General features: G+C 41.1%; 1 protein-coding gene across 1 annotated transcript in view; it reads left to right on the forward strand.

Annotated features, from left to right (window-relative positions):
* Window positions 1-17,096, forward strand: part of N4BP2 (NEDD4 binding protein 2) — a 133,621-nt gene that overhangs the window by 102,038 nt on the left and 14,487 nt on the right. The gene's annotated exons all lie outside the window — the stretch shown is intronic.

Raw genomic sequence — 17,096 nt, forward strand, 5'->3', positions numbered from 1 at the left:
TTTATCTAACAAATATTTAGAGCACTCGTTACTGGGGTTACAGGGTAAATGCGATAGAGCTTTTATCCAGAATTATAATTATTCTTATCAACTCCTATGTATATAGTGACTTATACTATGGGATACTCTCGTATATGTTATATTTTAAATCTCAAGAGAATTTTATTACATAGGTAGTGCTATCCCAATTTAATGAATAAAGCCACATAGACTTAGAGAAGTTAACTGGTTTGCTGTTTAATGTCAGAGGTATAACTTGAACCACATTCTCTGACTCCTAATATGGAGCAGCTGCATTTGTCCTAAGAGAGAATAGTTACTTATAAAGAGATAATAGTCTACTGTTCTCTCCAGAGAGTTGTGGCTCCACAGTATATGTCTTTGAAAACCTACCATTTATGATTCTGCCTTCTTCCTTTATACGAAAGCTGGTACTTTGGAAAAACCCAAAATACTAATGGCAAAAGGTAAAAGTTTATTTCTTTCTTCCTATAAAATCCCAGGGATAAAAATTCCAGGACTGCTTTACTTGACGCTTTTGGGAATCTAGGAAAGTTCATCATTCTGCCATACCCAAGATAATGGCCCTCATTTTCCTAGGCCAGGGTGGGTGGCTACATCTCTAACTGTCACATCTGTATTCTGCTGGAGGAAAGACAAAGAAAAAGGGAGCAAAAGGCAAGTGCCAAGTGGTCTTAAAGATGGTTTTTGGAACCTGCCGTAGGACACTTCTACTTACGTCCTATTGACCAGAACCTAGTCATGTCATATCTAGCTGCGAGGGAGGCTGGGAAATTTTCTATTTCAGACTGCCATGTTCTGCTGAAATTTGGTATTCTCTTGGAGGAAAGAGAATGGATATTAGGAGAATGAATAGCAGTCTCTGCCACATCATTTTTTATCATTATATGCAAATAATGTGAAAATTAGTTCTCGATGCATTGATGACTTCTGAGTGTTAGGAATCAAAAAAAGGAAATCACAGTTGTTGTTGTTTTTTTTTTGAGATGGATTCTCACTCTGTCACCCAGGCTGGAGTGCAGTGGTGCAGTCTCCCAAGTAGCTGTGATTACAGGCACCCACCACCATGCCTGACTCATTTTTGTATTTTTAGTAGAGATGGGGTTTCAGCATGTTGCCCAGGCTGGTCTCGAATTCCTGATCTTAGGTGATCCATCCGCCTCAGCCTCCCAAAGTGCTGGGATTACAGGTGTGAACAATCACACCCGGCCAGGGAATTTTATTCGGGGAGGATTGCTGTATATGATCCTGTTCTAGCCTCAAGTAGGAAAAAACTAAATGACACGGACTAGCTTAATAAGTGCTAATGGCAGGAAGTACATTAGTCAAAACATGTTTTTGGCATTGCTACATTAGCCCGCCCTATTTAATATAGGATATATGTACAGATGGTCTCCCACTTAGGATGGTTTGACGTATTTTTCGATTTTGTGATGGTGTGAATGCCGTATGCGTTTAGTAGAAACCATCCTTCAAAGCATGAATGTTGATTTTTCTTGTGCTGGTGATGGGCTAGTGATATGTGGTGCAATACTCGCCTGTGATGTTGGGCAGTGGAGCGAGCTGCAGCTCCTAGTCAGCCACGCTAACGTTAACTTTCCTAAGCACATTTAAGGTAGGCTAGGCTAAGCTATGATGTTCAGTAGCTTAGGGGTATTGGATGCATTTTCCACTTAAAATATTTTCAACTTACAGTGAGTTTATTACATAAGTGACCCCATTGTAAGTTGAGGAACATCTTTATTTCACATGCATTTCTTAGTTAGAAAACTCAGACTGACTCCCTAACTGGGAGAGTTGGGGAAACAAAAGATTCCAGATGAAAATACTAAACACACACTAAAAACACTGCATAGTTGATAAAGGGGCTTAGGTCAGAAATCTAAGTGAGAATATTAGAGGCACTTTTGCAAAAGGTGCCTCTGCTCCTGACTCATGTTAAGTTTTAGTTTTCAGTTTTGGGGTGGAGGGACAGATGACAAAGGACAGCAGACTTAAAGACTAAGACACTCCATAAACCTAACACCCCACAGAGCTTTATCCTCAGTGGGGATGGGGATGAATAAAACAATTTCGCCCTCCTTCCCACCCCCAGAAGGACTGCAAGGAATATTGTCTTGGCATGAGCAGAAGAGACCAAAAACTCAATCAATCAATCCTGACAAGTTAAAATCACTACTGGCCCTCACAGAATAACAGCCCGAAGTCATAACACCTAGAGTAGGCAAAAAAATGAGAAGTCGAGAATTGAATTGGTAGAGGTCTTGGCCTGATAATGCCGCCACTAGCTGCCTGACAAAGGCAAATGCAAATTTTCTCAGAGAGAATGCACCCTCATCTTGGAGAATTAGATCTGATCAAGGCTGTAGATCCAACAACCAATTTACAGGGATTACAGAGGACACAGGAATATGTGAGACATCAGGATGCAATTACCAGGATAGACTGGGAAACTGACAACACAATTTCTTTAAATAAGTTGAAGATAAAATAAAACCACACAGGTGGAGGGAGAACTTACCCATTGAAACAAAAGAGGCTTATACCAGTTGCAATTTGTGGACCTTTTTTGGGTACTGGTTCAGCAGAAAAACTTGACAATCACACGACAGTTGGCATTGTGAACATTGACTTGATAATTAAAGAACAATTGTTTTTTAGGAATGATGTGGTTGTATTTTTAAAAGGATCTCTATTTTTAAAAAAGAGATACATGCTGAAATATGTACGTAAAATGATACGATGTTAGCAATTCAAAATAAGATGGAGCAAGTGGCTGTGGGTACTTAGGAAACAAGATTGCCCATAAGTTGGTAAATGGGAAAGATAGATGTTTATTATACTAGAATGTCTACTTTTGAATGTATTCAAAGCTCTATAAAAAAGGATTTTTAAAAAGTTGATGGAAGAGCTGGAGAAGTGGATTCTAGACCTGGCTCTGGGGATGAATTCCAGAATGCTGCAGAATTAACCTGCATAGTAGCTGCTACGTCTGCCGTAATTTAAAGGTGAGGAATCAGGAGGCCCCCATGGCACTGTTGCCACAGCTGTCTCTTAACCATTCTCAAAGCTGGTGACTAGGCACCAGAAAAGTGTTGTAGAAATAGTCTCCATCATTTGCCTTTTGAACAGAATGAGCCGTACCAGTGGATAGATGGCCTCCACCTTACTTATGCCTCCGAAATCTCACTGGAGTGTATCTAATTGGTAGAAACTATTGTATTCTAATATATATAGAATTTTACCTTCATCAAAGATCTGGGAAATGTTCTTTTAAACTTTACGGAAAGGCTCATTAGAAGTAGAGCTGGGGCTGGGTGTGGTGGCTTATGCCTGTAATCCCAACACTTCTGGGGGCGAAGGCAGGCAGATCACTTGAGGTCAGGAGTTCAAAACCAGCCTGGCCAACATAGTGAAACCCTGTCTCTACTAAAAATACAAAAATTAGCAGGTGTGGTGGCACATGCTTGAAACCAGGAGGTAGAGGTTGCAGTGAGCCAAGATAGTGCCACTGCACTCCAGCCTGGGTGACAGAGTGAGACTCTGTCTCAAAAAAGAAGAAGAAGTAGAGCTGGAGGATGAGTATCAAATGCTCATATTTGCTACACCGATGATACTTGTCCAACCAGGTATAGAAATAAAATGGCTTGACATATTAGTCACAAAAGCATTGCATGTCAACTGGGATATTTAGAGGTATGCCAGGGAGTACCCCAAGTCCAGGATAAGCTTAGGATATATTTCAGGAGCACTGGTTTTACTCAATGGCAAATAATACACATTATTATTTAATGTAGCTTATTGGTGTATGTATTAGGGTTCTCCAGAATGAATAGGAGATAGATAGGGGATTTATCAGGAGAATTGGCTCCTGTAATTTTGGAGGCTGAGAAGTTCACACCAGGCCATCTGCAAGCAGGAGAACTAGGGAAGCCAGTAGCATGGCCAAGTACAAGTCTGAAGGCCACAGAGCCAGGGAAGCTGATGGTATCTTTCAGTTCAAGTGTGAAGTTCTCAAAATCCAAGGGGAGAGGACCCCATGTGGGCCTCTCCAAAGGCTGCTTGAGTGTCCTTACAACATGGTGGCTGGTTTCTCCAGAACAGGTAATCCAAGTGAGCAAAACAGAAACTGCAGTACCTTTTATGACTTAGTATTGGAAGTTTTTTGCAGTTATCTGCCAAATTGTTTGTTAGAACCAAGCCATTAAATTCAGCTAACTTTGAAGCACAGGAGAATTAGCTCTACCTTTTGAAGGATACAATGTCAAAGGATTTGTGTATGTATTTGGAAGCCATTATGTTTACTATGAACTAGGCACCACTGGGTACTTTGCAAATGTACCTAGTATAATCATAACCACCCGCTGGGGTAGGTATTATTGCCCACATGGCCGACATTGTTGTCTTACCCAACAGTTATTCTTTCTATTACAGCTCTTTTTGTTCAGGCATCTGGTGGCAGTGGGCTCAGGGAAGATCAACCCCTCTGTAGCTCCTGCAGGTGAATTTTGATTGGTGGAAAAGCCAATCATGGCAATGCCATTTCCCCTTGCCAGTGATTAGTTGGAGGATGGATATATGATCATACCAACAAGAATTCTGCTAGATTGGTTCTGGGAAAGGTTTTCCTCACGAATACAGAGAAACACATAGGAAGAAATGCATTCTTGTTCAGCAAGACTTTGTGTCTGTATGTGATGTCTGGAATTGCAGTTGCCTTGTTGAAACCATGAAGAGACAAACCTAAGGCCCAAGCCAATGTGCTAAGGATGGTGAGTGTAGAGAAGAAAAACCCTCTGTTCTTGATGATGTCATTGAGCCCCTGAATTAACTAACCCTGGAACTGACCTTTAGTGGCCTTGTTATGAGAGACAATAAGCTGCCTTTGTTTGGGTTTTGTGTTACACCTGGAAGCATCCTAATGATTTGATATACCCCTTTTTACAGACTAGGAAACATGTTCAGAGAGATTATAGAATTTGCGAAATCTTTCCCGGCTATTAATAGCAGAGCCGGGTTTCAGACTGAGATGTCTATGTTCTAAGCACCTGGTCTTTTATCAGTTAAGTGACTTTTCTCCAGCAATTCTCAGGAATCAGAGAGGAGAAACAGAGACATCAGTTGGTTTCAGCAGAGGTAGTGATTGGCGGATAGGTATGGGAAGGGTTCAGTGTGGGAAGGAAAGGAGACAAAATTCACGATGCTGTATGTGTAAGGTTGAAAAGCTTGACTGTGAGATACAGGCTGGTAAGGAGTCAAGTGGAATCCAGAGGGGGCTGATAGACTGGAATAGTGGAGGTGAGCAGTGAAGGTATAGTTGAGGAAAGAACAGATTCAGAAAGTTTGAGGGGGAGGGAAAGTGGAAGGAGGTTGTAGGAAGGAACCTTGAGAACTTCAGAGTTCAGAATATTAGGATGTGGGTATTTGTTCCTAAGGGAGTTTGATTTGTGGCTGAGCATGGAGATGATGGTAGTCGGAGTGGAGAAGGTCACAGAATTGATACCAAATTTCTGGATCATCCACTTTGTGTACATATTACCTAGAAAAGTGACAAGCAGTGCAGTAGAGAGGAAGATTGAAAGCCAGTCTGCTGGAAGTCTGGGTGAAATAAAAATGTTTTCTTTATTTGCGTGGTCTCCATTCTTCACATGGATAGGATCTGACTCAACACAGCCCCATGTTGAAGAAAGAATTATAAGGATTAATCTGTTTTAATCTGCTGCTTTGTCAAGACTGGAGAGACGAGATAGATAGGGTCACTGGGAGGGGCTGAAAGGAGAGAGTCATGAGAAATGGAGTTTCCTAGGTCTTTCTGAAACAGTTCTTTGCAGCGGGACCTCACTGTTTTGTTTGAAGTTGCTTCTTGCCTATTTATTTAATCCATCTGAATTTATGAAAACCAACAAAATAGGCTTATACATTGCCCATTATTTCAGATTATTGTGGTTTCCCTATTTATTTAAACAATTAAAGGCAACTCTGCTGATCTCTTTGCTGAGACTCTGAAGACTCTGGTGATCTCTTTGCTGAGCTGTAGAGTAAGAAGAGCTCACTGTCTTCTTAAGCTCTGGGCTACGTTTTTCTTTTCATTGTTCTGTCCTTTCTTAGATAAAATTATATTTTTTTTCAAAAATAATTTTTGGCAGTGGGTTACATAGGAATTTATTTTTAAAGTACCTTATTAATTTTGTTACCTTCATAGAATCATTAGCTAGAATATCTGAATATAGTTGTCTCTTATATTTCTTGGTTCCTGTCCTTAGAGTCATGTTAATAGTTTTAGGTCATATTCCTGTGATTTTATTGTAAGCTAGCTCAAATCTTTTTTTGGAAATAGGATAAAAATCAATCTGTACTTTTTTTTTTGACTTGCTCTATCACCCAGGCTGGAGTACAGTGGCACAATCACAGGCCAGTGCAACCTCTGCTTCCCGGGCTCAAGCAATCCTCGTGCCTCAGTCTCCTGAGTAGCTAGAACTACAGGTGTGCGGCACCATGTCTGGCGAATTTTTGTATTTATAGTAGAGATGGGGTTTTGCCATGTTGGCCAGGCTGGTCTTGAACTCCTGGCCTCAAGTGATCCACCTGCTTTGGTCTCCCAAAGTGCTGGGATTACAGGTGTGAGTCACTGTCTCTACTTTTAAGAGAAAAAGAAGCAAGGTGCAAAAGGGTACTCACAGGATGATCCATTAGTGTGTTTTTTAAAAGGATATGTATAGATAGATCCACTGATATACTATACATCTCTATGTACGTGTGTGTGTGTATATGTATATATAAATGCAAACCCACACATAGAGTGAATAGAATAGATTCTGGGCCCCTTATGACTCAGTTTCAAAGGATGTCATGTTCAGAAGTCAGTATTCCTCAAAGAACTTATAGGAAACATTTGTGTTTTATATAGCACAAGTTGAAATTAGTTTTCCCTTCATATTCTTTCTGTCTTCCATTCTTATATTCCGTAGATACCCCAAAGCCTCTGTCTCTATTTCTTCCTCTCCTCCTTTCACCAAAACCCTCCCTGATGTCTCTACCACTGCTGGGCCTTATCTATCTCCCTTCCCATTTTCTTTCTGTTTTCTTCTGCCTAGTGAATAGTTCTGGGCCTTTTGCATATAAATCTCTCATCTCAGCTTCCTTGGTTCTTCTCATAGAACACACCTCCCTCCCATTTGTTTTATCTACACAATAAGACAATGGAAGGTGGGGGTGTAGCCAGTGGGAAGTGGTCAGGATGCCAATATTGGAATCTTTTTCTTTGTTAGTAGGCAGGAGGAAGGAAGCTACAAATACCCCCACAGTAATAAGTTTTTTCCCTGTTTCACATGAAGAATTTCTGAAGGATTCTGTAAGAAACTGAACAGCAGGCTATCTGGCGGGATAGGCCTGTGGGGTCAGAGGTAGGAGAATTAGATTTTGCCTTCATTGTCTGAACTGTTTTTGTTTTAAAACTATATATATTACTATTAGAAAGTCATTAAAAAATAGAGATAATTGGCTGGGCGAGGTGGCTTATGTCTGTAATCCCAGCACTTTGGGAGGCTGAGGCGGGTGGATCACCTGAGGTTGGGAGTTCAAGACCAGCCTGACCAACATGGAGAAACCCTGTCTCTACTAAAAATACAAAATTAGCTTGGCGTAGTGATGCATGCCAGTAATCCCAGCTACTTGGGAGGTTGAGGCAGGAGAATCACTTGAACCCAGGAGACGGAGTTTGTGGTGAGCCGAGATCACACCATTGCACTCCAGCCTGGGCAACAACAGTGAAACTCCATCTAAAAAAAAAACAAACAAACAAAAAGATAATTAATAGATGCACTTTTTATTTTAAAATTTTGTGGGTACATTGTAGGTGTATACATTTATGGGGTACATGAGATATTTTTGATACATGCATGCAATGCATATTAATCACATCGGGGTAAATGGGATATCCGTCCCCTCAAGCATTTATCCTTTGTGTTACAAACAATTCAGTTGTTTATTTTAAAATGTACACTAAATGATTGTTGACTGTAGTCACCCTTTTATGCTATTAAATACTAGATCTTATTCATTCTAACTACACTTTTACATTTTGAAACATAGTGAAAATGTCATACTTGATATTAGAGTGAATTATTCAGTGTACACATTATATGTATTTTAATATGTTTCTCTTTAGGCTGCCTTCTAGTACCAAATGTTATAATCAGATAATTGACCTGGTGTTTGTGGTGATCTGATATTATCAGGAAAAGCATTACTCTGCCTTTTTAAACTCTTAAATTGATACAACTGCTGGAAGAAGGGAGGACAGATCCAAGAGATCTAATTTGTATATAATGGGAGTTCCAGAGTGAAATACAAGAGAAAAGCCAGATTTAATAGAAGTAAATTTCCTGAGCTGAATAAAGCCTTATATTTGCAGGTTGAAAGTGTTCACTAAATTCTAGGCAGGATTGATGAGAAAAGGCATACACCTAAACATACTCTGACAGAATTCCTGAATCTCAAAGTTAAAGAGAAAAATATATAAGATTCCAGACAGAAAGAAGTTATTTGCAATGGGAAAAGAATTGGACTGGTATCAGACAGTGGAATCATATCTATACCTGTTAAGAGAAAAGGAAAGTAACCAAGAAGTCTCTTTCCAGCCAAGCATCATTCACCTGCCAGAGTGAAAGGGATGCAGAAAGGATTCCAAGAATCTATCATCTGCATATCCCCATCTGAAGAAACTGAAAAGAGGACTGTAACTAAATAACAAATTAATGAGAATAGAGACTTCAAGAAATGAGAAGGTAAAGTAGAAAGGGAAGATGATGAGTGAACAATAAGCCTTGTAATATACATGGGTATGTATCTTAATGTACTTGGATGATGATGAAATGACTGAAAATGTGTACTATACGTGTTAAATAAAGACTCTTAAGATAAATGAGACTCATCTAACTAGAGCCTGGGAGTAAAAGTTACAATTTTTCTCAGCAAAACCTAAGAGGTGGTATTGGAGGAAAGGGAGGAAGAAGTAAAAACATTCTAAAAGTTTTATCTTATTGGGTGGAGGGAAAGCATCAAGGAATAGAGTAACTTGGTGGGGAAATAGTATATTCTTACATAATAGTAATAAAATATGTGTTTGATGATGTGTATTAAAAAAACATAACCACTAGTGGAGTGGGAAAGCATAGTGTCATTTTGAAATTATAAGAGGAAACAAAGGAATAAATTGTAACTTGATCATACCAGTATATATAAAGAAAAGGAAAAAAGAAAATTAATGAGGTAAGTTTAATAGTAAATATAAGCAAGAGAGAAGGAATAAAATGAAGAATATCAGTGATTATATTAAATGTAAATGAGCCCAATTTTCCTATCAACAGACAGAGACTATCAGAATGGATTAAAAACAAACCCAGTGAATATGTTGTTTACAAGAAACACACTTAGAGTGATAAAGAAGTATTTAAAGCAATTGGAAAAGCAATACTACAGATATATAAAGAGATTAAAAATTAGGAGAGGCAATATTAATATCAGAAAAGGTGGGACAAGCTATTAATGAACTAAACAGGGAGAAGAACAGTGCCTATAAAAGACAATATTTGAAGATAAGCACCAAACAATATCATAAAGATATAAATCAGAAGATTGTTATAAATATAAGGATAACATCATAAAAATGAAATTTATGGATTTTACACCTTTTTCAGAACTAGACAGATCTAGTAGACAAAAAATAGGAGACCACAGAAATCAATTGACCTACTTGCTTTAATAAATATATATAGAATTATACATTCTTCAGAGAATAAATATGTATATTTCTTTTTTCTTCTTTTTTTTTTGAGATGGAGTTTTGCTCTTGTTGCCCAAGCTGGAGTGCAATGGTGCAGTCTTGGCTTACTGCAACCTCCACCTCCCTGGGTTCAAGTGATCTCCTGCCTCAGTCTCCCGAGTAGCTGGAATTACAAGTGCGCGCCACCACACCCGGCTAATTTTTTGTATTTTTAGTAGAGACGAGGTTTCACCATGTTGGCCAAGTTGGTCTTGAACTCCTGACTTCAGGTGATCCGCCCACCTCTGCCTCCCAAAGTGCTGGGATTACAGGCTTGAGCCACTGCGCCTGGCCAAATATATATATTTCTAAATGGCTACTAACTAGTTACAAAAATTTATCATAAACTTGGCCACAAAAATAAAAAAGGGCCGGGCGTGGTGGTTCTCGCCTGTAATCCCAGCACTTTGGGAGGCCAAGGCGGGGGGATCATCTGAGGTCAGGAGTTTGAAACTAGCCTGGCCAACGTAGAGAAACCCCGCCTTTACTAAAAATACCAAAAAAGCCTGGCATGGTGGCACACACCTATAATCCCAGCTACTTGGGTGTCTGAGGCACGAGAATTGCTTGAACCCAGCGGGTGGAGGTTGCAGTGAGCTGAGATCGCTCCACTGCACGCCAGCCAGCAAAACAGAGCAAGACTGTCTCAAAAAAAAAAAAAACCTTAAAAATAGAGATTTTTAAATTTCACATTATTTGATGAAATTAGAAGTAAATTAATGAAATTAGAAATATATAAAAGATTTAAAAATAATTATTTGAAATTTGAGACTGCCCTCCTAAATAATCATTGGATCAAATTAGAAACTGAACTGAAATGATAAACTTTGTAAAGAAAAAAAGGGAAACTCGACATAACCAAACCTACAAAAGCCAGCAAGAGCTGTATGTAAAGTACATAAAGATTGGAAATTCAGTGCTCATCTTTAAAAAAAAAAACAAAAAAAAGGAAGCTGGGTGTGGTGGCTCTCGCTTGTAATCCCAGCACTTTGGGAGGCCGAGGTGGGTGGATCACCTGAGGTCAGGTGTTCGAGACCAGCGTGACCAACATGGTGAAACCCCATCTCTGTTAAAAATACAAAAATTAGCTGGGCGTGGTGGCAGGCGTCTGTAATCTGAGCTACTCGGGAGGCTGAGGCAGAGAATTGCTTGAACCTGGGAGGCAGAGGTTTCAGTGAACTGAGATTGCACCATTGCACTCCAGCCTGGGTGACAGAGCAAGACTCAATCTCAAAAAAAAAAAAAAAAAGTAAAATAACCATAAAAGAAAATAGAGGAGGAAATTAAGAAAAGACTCATATTAATGAAATTTAGAAAAGATAAAAAAATCTCTGAAAAAAGAGAAACGTCTTATGAATTTGAGGGTAAAAAGCTTTTAAAAATTAAAATATACATTTAACTCAATAATTGTGTCTATAATTTTCATGGAAATAAAAACATAAATTTCAAGATATATACCCTTAATCATTCAGTTTTTTTAGGGGGCCTACTTACTATGTACACTGGTCATCCCAACTTAAGAGTCCATTGTGGTAATATATTTAAAGATTACAAATAAAAAAGAAAATGAATTAGGTAGTTGTCTAATAAGAGCACATGCAGGATGGCCGGGTGTGGTGGCTCACGCCTGTGATCCCAGCACTTTGGGAGACTGACGCAGGCAGATCACTTGAGTTTAGGAGTTGAAGACCAGCCTCGGCAACATGACGATACCCTGTCTCTACAAAAAATACAAAAATTAGCCGGGTGTGGTGGTGCGTGCCTTTAGTCCCATGCGCCACCACAGTCCCACTCTACTTGTGGGGTGCTGAGACAGGAGGATAGCTTGAATCTGGGAGGTTGAGGCTGCAGTGAGCTGAGTGGTGCCACTGAACTCCATCCTGGGTGACCAAGTGAGACCCTGTCCCCCAAAAGAAAAAGCACATGCAGGAGCTCAGTGGACCTCATCCATTTTTGTGTTCTAATTGGAAATTGTTGACTACCTTTTTTCAGCTGTATCTTTTTGGCCAGATGTTACCAAATGAGATCATTTCCTGTTCAATAGCTCTATCAGGTTATGCATTAACTTAAATGATTGAGTTAATATGTCATGGGCCATTTAAGACAGTGCAATTGTATTTCACATATCCTCATTTTGCTCAATGATGTATTTTCTATTTTGGTTCCTCTTTGATATGTTGGAAAGGGATTGAAACTAGGAGATAAGTGATATGGAAAAGGCTTTTACATGTTTATGATTGAGAGATTTATTTACTTTCTTGGCAACTTGTTTGAGAATACAGTTTTAATATTTCAGCAAAAGCAGATTGGTGTATATTTTATTTAGGGATGCCCAGTTTAATGATTGTATCAGTTATATTGGAGTTTGGTCAAGGCATTTAGGTATATTTAGCCTATCTTGCTAGGTTGCATATTTAAAGGACTGGGCTTCCACTTTTCTCAGTCTATCTTCTGCCCTTCGCAAGTTCTTCCAACGTGAAGTGCCAGGGCATGCTGTCACTTTCATCGTTTGTCCATCCCTTCTGCCAAAAACTAGCCAGGAAACCAGGAGACGAGCTCTAGGAGAAGGCTGCCAATACCACTGGCAGAAAGAGAGTGCCATCTTGTTTTCTACTTATTGCTGTTGAGCCTGGTGTTGGTGCTACCTTTGCTTCCCAGGGTAATGCTGTGTGGTGATTCCCGTGCAACATGGCCAGAGAAGCATTTCAGTGTTGTCTGATGACACTTAGGTTCAGCTTTGGATCATCCCCTGTGATGTGGCTGGGTGTTATGGCTTGAATTATGTTCCCCCAAAATTCATATGTTGAAGTCCTAACCCCCAGTACTCCTGAATGTGATCTTAATTGGAGGTATTCTTTACAGAAGTAATCTAGTTGGATTAGTCAGGGTTCTCTAGAAGGACAGAACTAATAGGATAGATATCTACATAAAGGGGAGTTTATAAGGAGTATTGACTCATATGATCACAAGGTGAGACCCCACAGTAGGCCATCTGCAGGCTGAGGAACAAGGAAGCCAGTCGAGTTCCAAAACCTCAAAAGTGGGGAAGCTGACAGTGCAGCCTTCTGTCTGTAGTCAAAGTTCCAAGAGTCCCAGAGCTGATGGATGTGGAGTCTGATGTTCGAGGGCAGGAAGCATCCAGCACAGGAGAAAGATGGAGGCCGGGAGACTAAGCCAGTCTAGTCTTTTTCTGAGATGGAGTCTCACTCTGTCGCTCAGGCTGGAGTGCAGTAGGCGCGATCTCAGCTCACTGCAACCTCCACCTCCTGGGTTCAAGTGATTCTTGTGCCTCAGCCTCCTCAGTAGCTGGGATTATAGGCATGCGCCACCACACCTGGCTAATTTTTTGTATTTTTAGTAGAGATGGGGTTTCATCATGTTGGCCAGACTAGTCTCGGTCTTGAACTCCTGACCTCAAGTGATCTGCCCACCTCGGCCTCCCAAAATGCTGGAATTTACTGGTGTGAGCCATCACACCCTGCCAACAATCTAGTCTTTTCATGTTCTTCTGCCTGCATTTATTCTGGCAGGCAGATTAGATTGGCAGCTGATTAGATTGTGCCTACCCAGATTGAGGGTGAGTCTGCCTTTCCCAGTGCACTGACTCAAATTTTAATTTCCTTTGGCAACATCCTCACAGACACCCCCAGGAACAACACTTTGCATCCTTCAATCCAGTCAAGTTGACACTCAATATTAACCACCACACAAGTTAAAATGGGGGTAATTTGGGTGGACCCTAATCCAATGTGACTGGTGTCCTTATAAAAAGGAGGAATTTGGACACAGAGATAGCCACAGAGGGAAGATGATGTGAAGAGACACAGGAAGAAGACACCACACAGGCAAGGAGAGAGGCCTGGAACAGCTGCCTCCCTTGCAGCCCTCAGAAGGCACTAGCCCTGCTGACACTTCGATTTTGGAATTTAGCCTCCAGAACTATGAGATGATAAATTTCTCTGAAGCCACCCATTCTGTGGCACTTTGCTACTGTAGCCCTAGCAAACTAATACAGTGAGGTTGGATCAGTTCAACTCAGCAGTGTGTTTGAATCTGTGAATGACCATTTCACTGCAATCTTCCCAACAATGTGTTTTATAATATCTTAAAATCTCCAAATCTTCAGCACATGCCTGGCTAAAGTAATATTACTGTTTGTTAAATAAACAAAGGAATGGTTACATTGAATCTACGAACTTTTTTGCTTTTTTTTTGCAAAAGCACCACCCAGTATTCCCTGTAAGTATCTTTGAAATTATGTCCAGTTGACACCGCCTTGCTGTTGACAGTTTGCTCCCCTAACTTCCCCTGCCATTGTCCCCATCCCTCTACCCCCAGCCCAGAATAAAAAAGGATCTTTGTGGTCATCTAACTCTACTATCACCATCAGTAGAGGACATCTCTTGCGCATCAGGCCAACTTCCCCTTGAACCCCTTGTCCCCTTAGAGGGGCTAGTTTAGGAAACCTCTGTTCTCCCACCTCAGCAAATTGCTCAGATCCTGGGTATGGACAAATTGGCCACCCAAAATTGCAAAAGGTAGCTGATTACCCTAAATGCAGGAACTCCCTGGAAAGCACCCCATGATCACAAATAGTTTTTGCTTGAATGTAGTTGGATGAAGATGAGAATGTGATCCCTGGCAAGTTAGATGCTGTGGGAATACAACCCCTGTCCTCAAGGATTTACACAATAGCAGGAAAGAAAATAGGATACTCATTGCTATACTAGGAGGCAGCATTTGTAGTACACACTACGTGAGAGGTATGAGGGAACAGAGGAAGAAGTTCATTTTGACTGGGGCAGCCAAGTAAGGCTCATGATGATGAACATCAGATGGAGGTGAAGGGAAATACGCTCTGTGCAAGGTTAACAGTGTATTCCCAAACACACCCTTCCTTGTAAAGTGAGCCTGAAAACAGGCTGACAGTCAGTGGATATACACCAGTGCAAGTGGACCAGTTAGTCACAGTCAAAGTCAAACTGTGTTCTCACTGCAGAGAGCCTGGGCCGAACTCTTGTTAAATATTTTGCATATCACCTCTATTGGCAAACCAGTATTTCCTTTTCTCTGCGTTATCACTTTCTCTTTCCTCTCTCTGCTCCCCTGTCCTCTCCTTTTACCTCCCTTTTCTTTTCTCATTTCTTTTTTTCTTTTTCCTGAACTGATGGCAAGAAATAGAAAGTACGGATTTGAAGTTTTACTCATAAACTTTTCTGGGCTTATTTCTAATTATAAAAGTAATAATGCTTGTGAGAAAAAAACACTAAAACTACAAAAAAAGGTATAAAGCAGAAGAAATTTGAAGTCTTTATTAATCTCATTGAAAACAAACAACTGGATAGCTATTGTCAAAAAGACGAGAGGCTGGGTACAGTGGCTCATGCCTAATTCCAGCACTTTGGGAGGCTGAGGCGGGAGGATTGCTTGAGTCTAGGAGTTCGAGACCAGCCTGGGCAAAATAGCAAGACACTGTCTCTACAAAAAATAAAAAAATTAACCCGATGTGGTAGTGCATGCCTGTAGTCCCAGCTGCTTGGGAGGCTGAGGCAGGAGAATCACTTGAGCCTAGGAGATGGAGGCTGCAGTGAGCCGTGATCATTTAAAGAAATTAAAAATAGAATTACTAGATGAGCCAGCAATCCCTCTTCTAGGCATATACCCAAAGAAAATGAAATTACCACCTCATGAAGATATCTGGACTCCATGTTCATTGCAGCATTACTTACAGTAGCCAGGATGTGGAAACAACCTAAGTGTGTGTTGAAGAATGGATTAAAAAAACTGCTGGCCAGGTGCGGTGGCTCACGCCTGTAATCCCAGTACTTTGGGAGGCTGAGGTGGGTGGATCATTTGAGGTCAGGAGTTTGAGACCAGCCTGGCCAACATGGTGAAACCCTGTCTCTACTAAAAATGCAAAAATTAGGCGGTGTAGTGGTGCGCACCTGTCATCCCAGTTACTCGGGAGGCTGGGGCAAGAGAATCGCTTGAGCCTGGGAGGCAGGGGTTGCAGTGAGCCGAGATCGCGCCACTGCACTCCAGTCTGGGCGACAGAGTGAGATGCTGTCACAAAACAAACAAAACTGTGCTTAGTGTTCACAGCAGTTTGGGAGGAAAAAAAGAAAAACTGTGCTATAGATAGACTCTGGGATATTATTCAGCCTAAAAAAAAAAAAAAGGAGATCCTGCCATTTGCTGCCACGTGGGAACCTGAAGGACATTATGTTAAGTAAAATAAGCCAGTCACAGAAAGAAAAGTACTGCTTGGTCTCACTTGCATGTAAAATTTTGTTTTGTTTTGTTTTTTCAAAGACAGTCTCATTCTGTTGCCCAAACTGGAGTGCAGTGGCACAATGAGAACTCACTGCAGCCTAGAATTCCTGGCCTCAAGCAATCCTCCTGCCTCAGCCTCCCTAGTAGCTGGGACTATAGGTGCATGCCACTGTGCCTGGCTAAGTTTGTTTTTTTTATGGTAAAGACAGGGTCTCGGTGTGTTACCCATGTTACCCAGGCAGGTTTGGAACTCCTGGCCATATGTGCGTCAGCTTCCCAAAGTGCTAGGATTATAGGCATGAGCCACCAAGCCTGGTATATATGTGAAATATAGAAAAAAAAAAAAAAAAGCCAAATATACAAAGACAATAAAATAGTGATTACCTGGGGCAGGGTGGGAGGTAGGAAGTAGGGAGATAGAGGATGGGGGGATACAAAGTAGCAGACACCTGGGATGAACCAGTCTGGAGATCTGATGCAAAACATGAGAACTGTAGGTAATAATAATGTATTGTATTCAAAAGAAAAACAACTGGCGGGTCACTGAGGCTCATGCCTGTAATCCCAGCACTTCGGGAGGCCGAGGTGGGCGGCTCTTCTGAGACCAGCCTGGGCAACAAGGCAAAGCCCTGTTTCTACCAAAAAATACAAAAAGTAGCAGGGCGTGGTGGCGGGCGCCTGTGGTCCCAGCCACTCGGGAGGCTGAGGCAGGAAAATCGCTCTCAAACTCAGGTAACGGAGGTTGCAGTGAGCCGAGATTGCGCCCCTGCACTCCAGCCTGAGCAACAGAGACTCGTCTCAAGAAAAAAAAAAAAAAAAAAAAGGCCTGTATTCCCAGCACTTTGGGAGGCCGAGGTGGGTGGATCACGAGGTCAGGAGATCGAGACCATCTTGGCTAACACGGTGAAACCCCGTCTCTACTAAGAATACAAAAAATTAGCCGGGCGCGGTGGCGGGCGCCTGTAGTCCCAGCTACTTG

The sequence above is a fragment of the Homo sapiens genome, chromosome 4 (assembly GCF_000001405.40).
Source record: "Homo sapiens chromosome 4, GRCh38.p14 Primary Assembly".
NCBI classification, from domain to species: domain Eukaryota; kingdom Metazoa; phylum Chordata; class Mammalia; order Primates; family Hominidae; genus Homo; species Homo sapiens.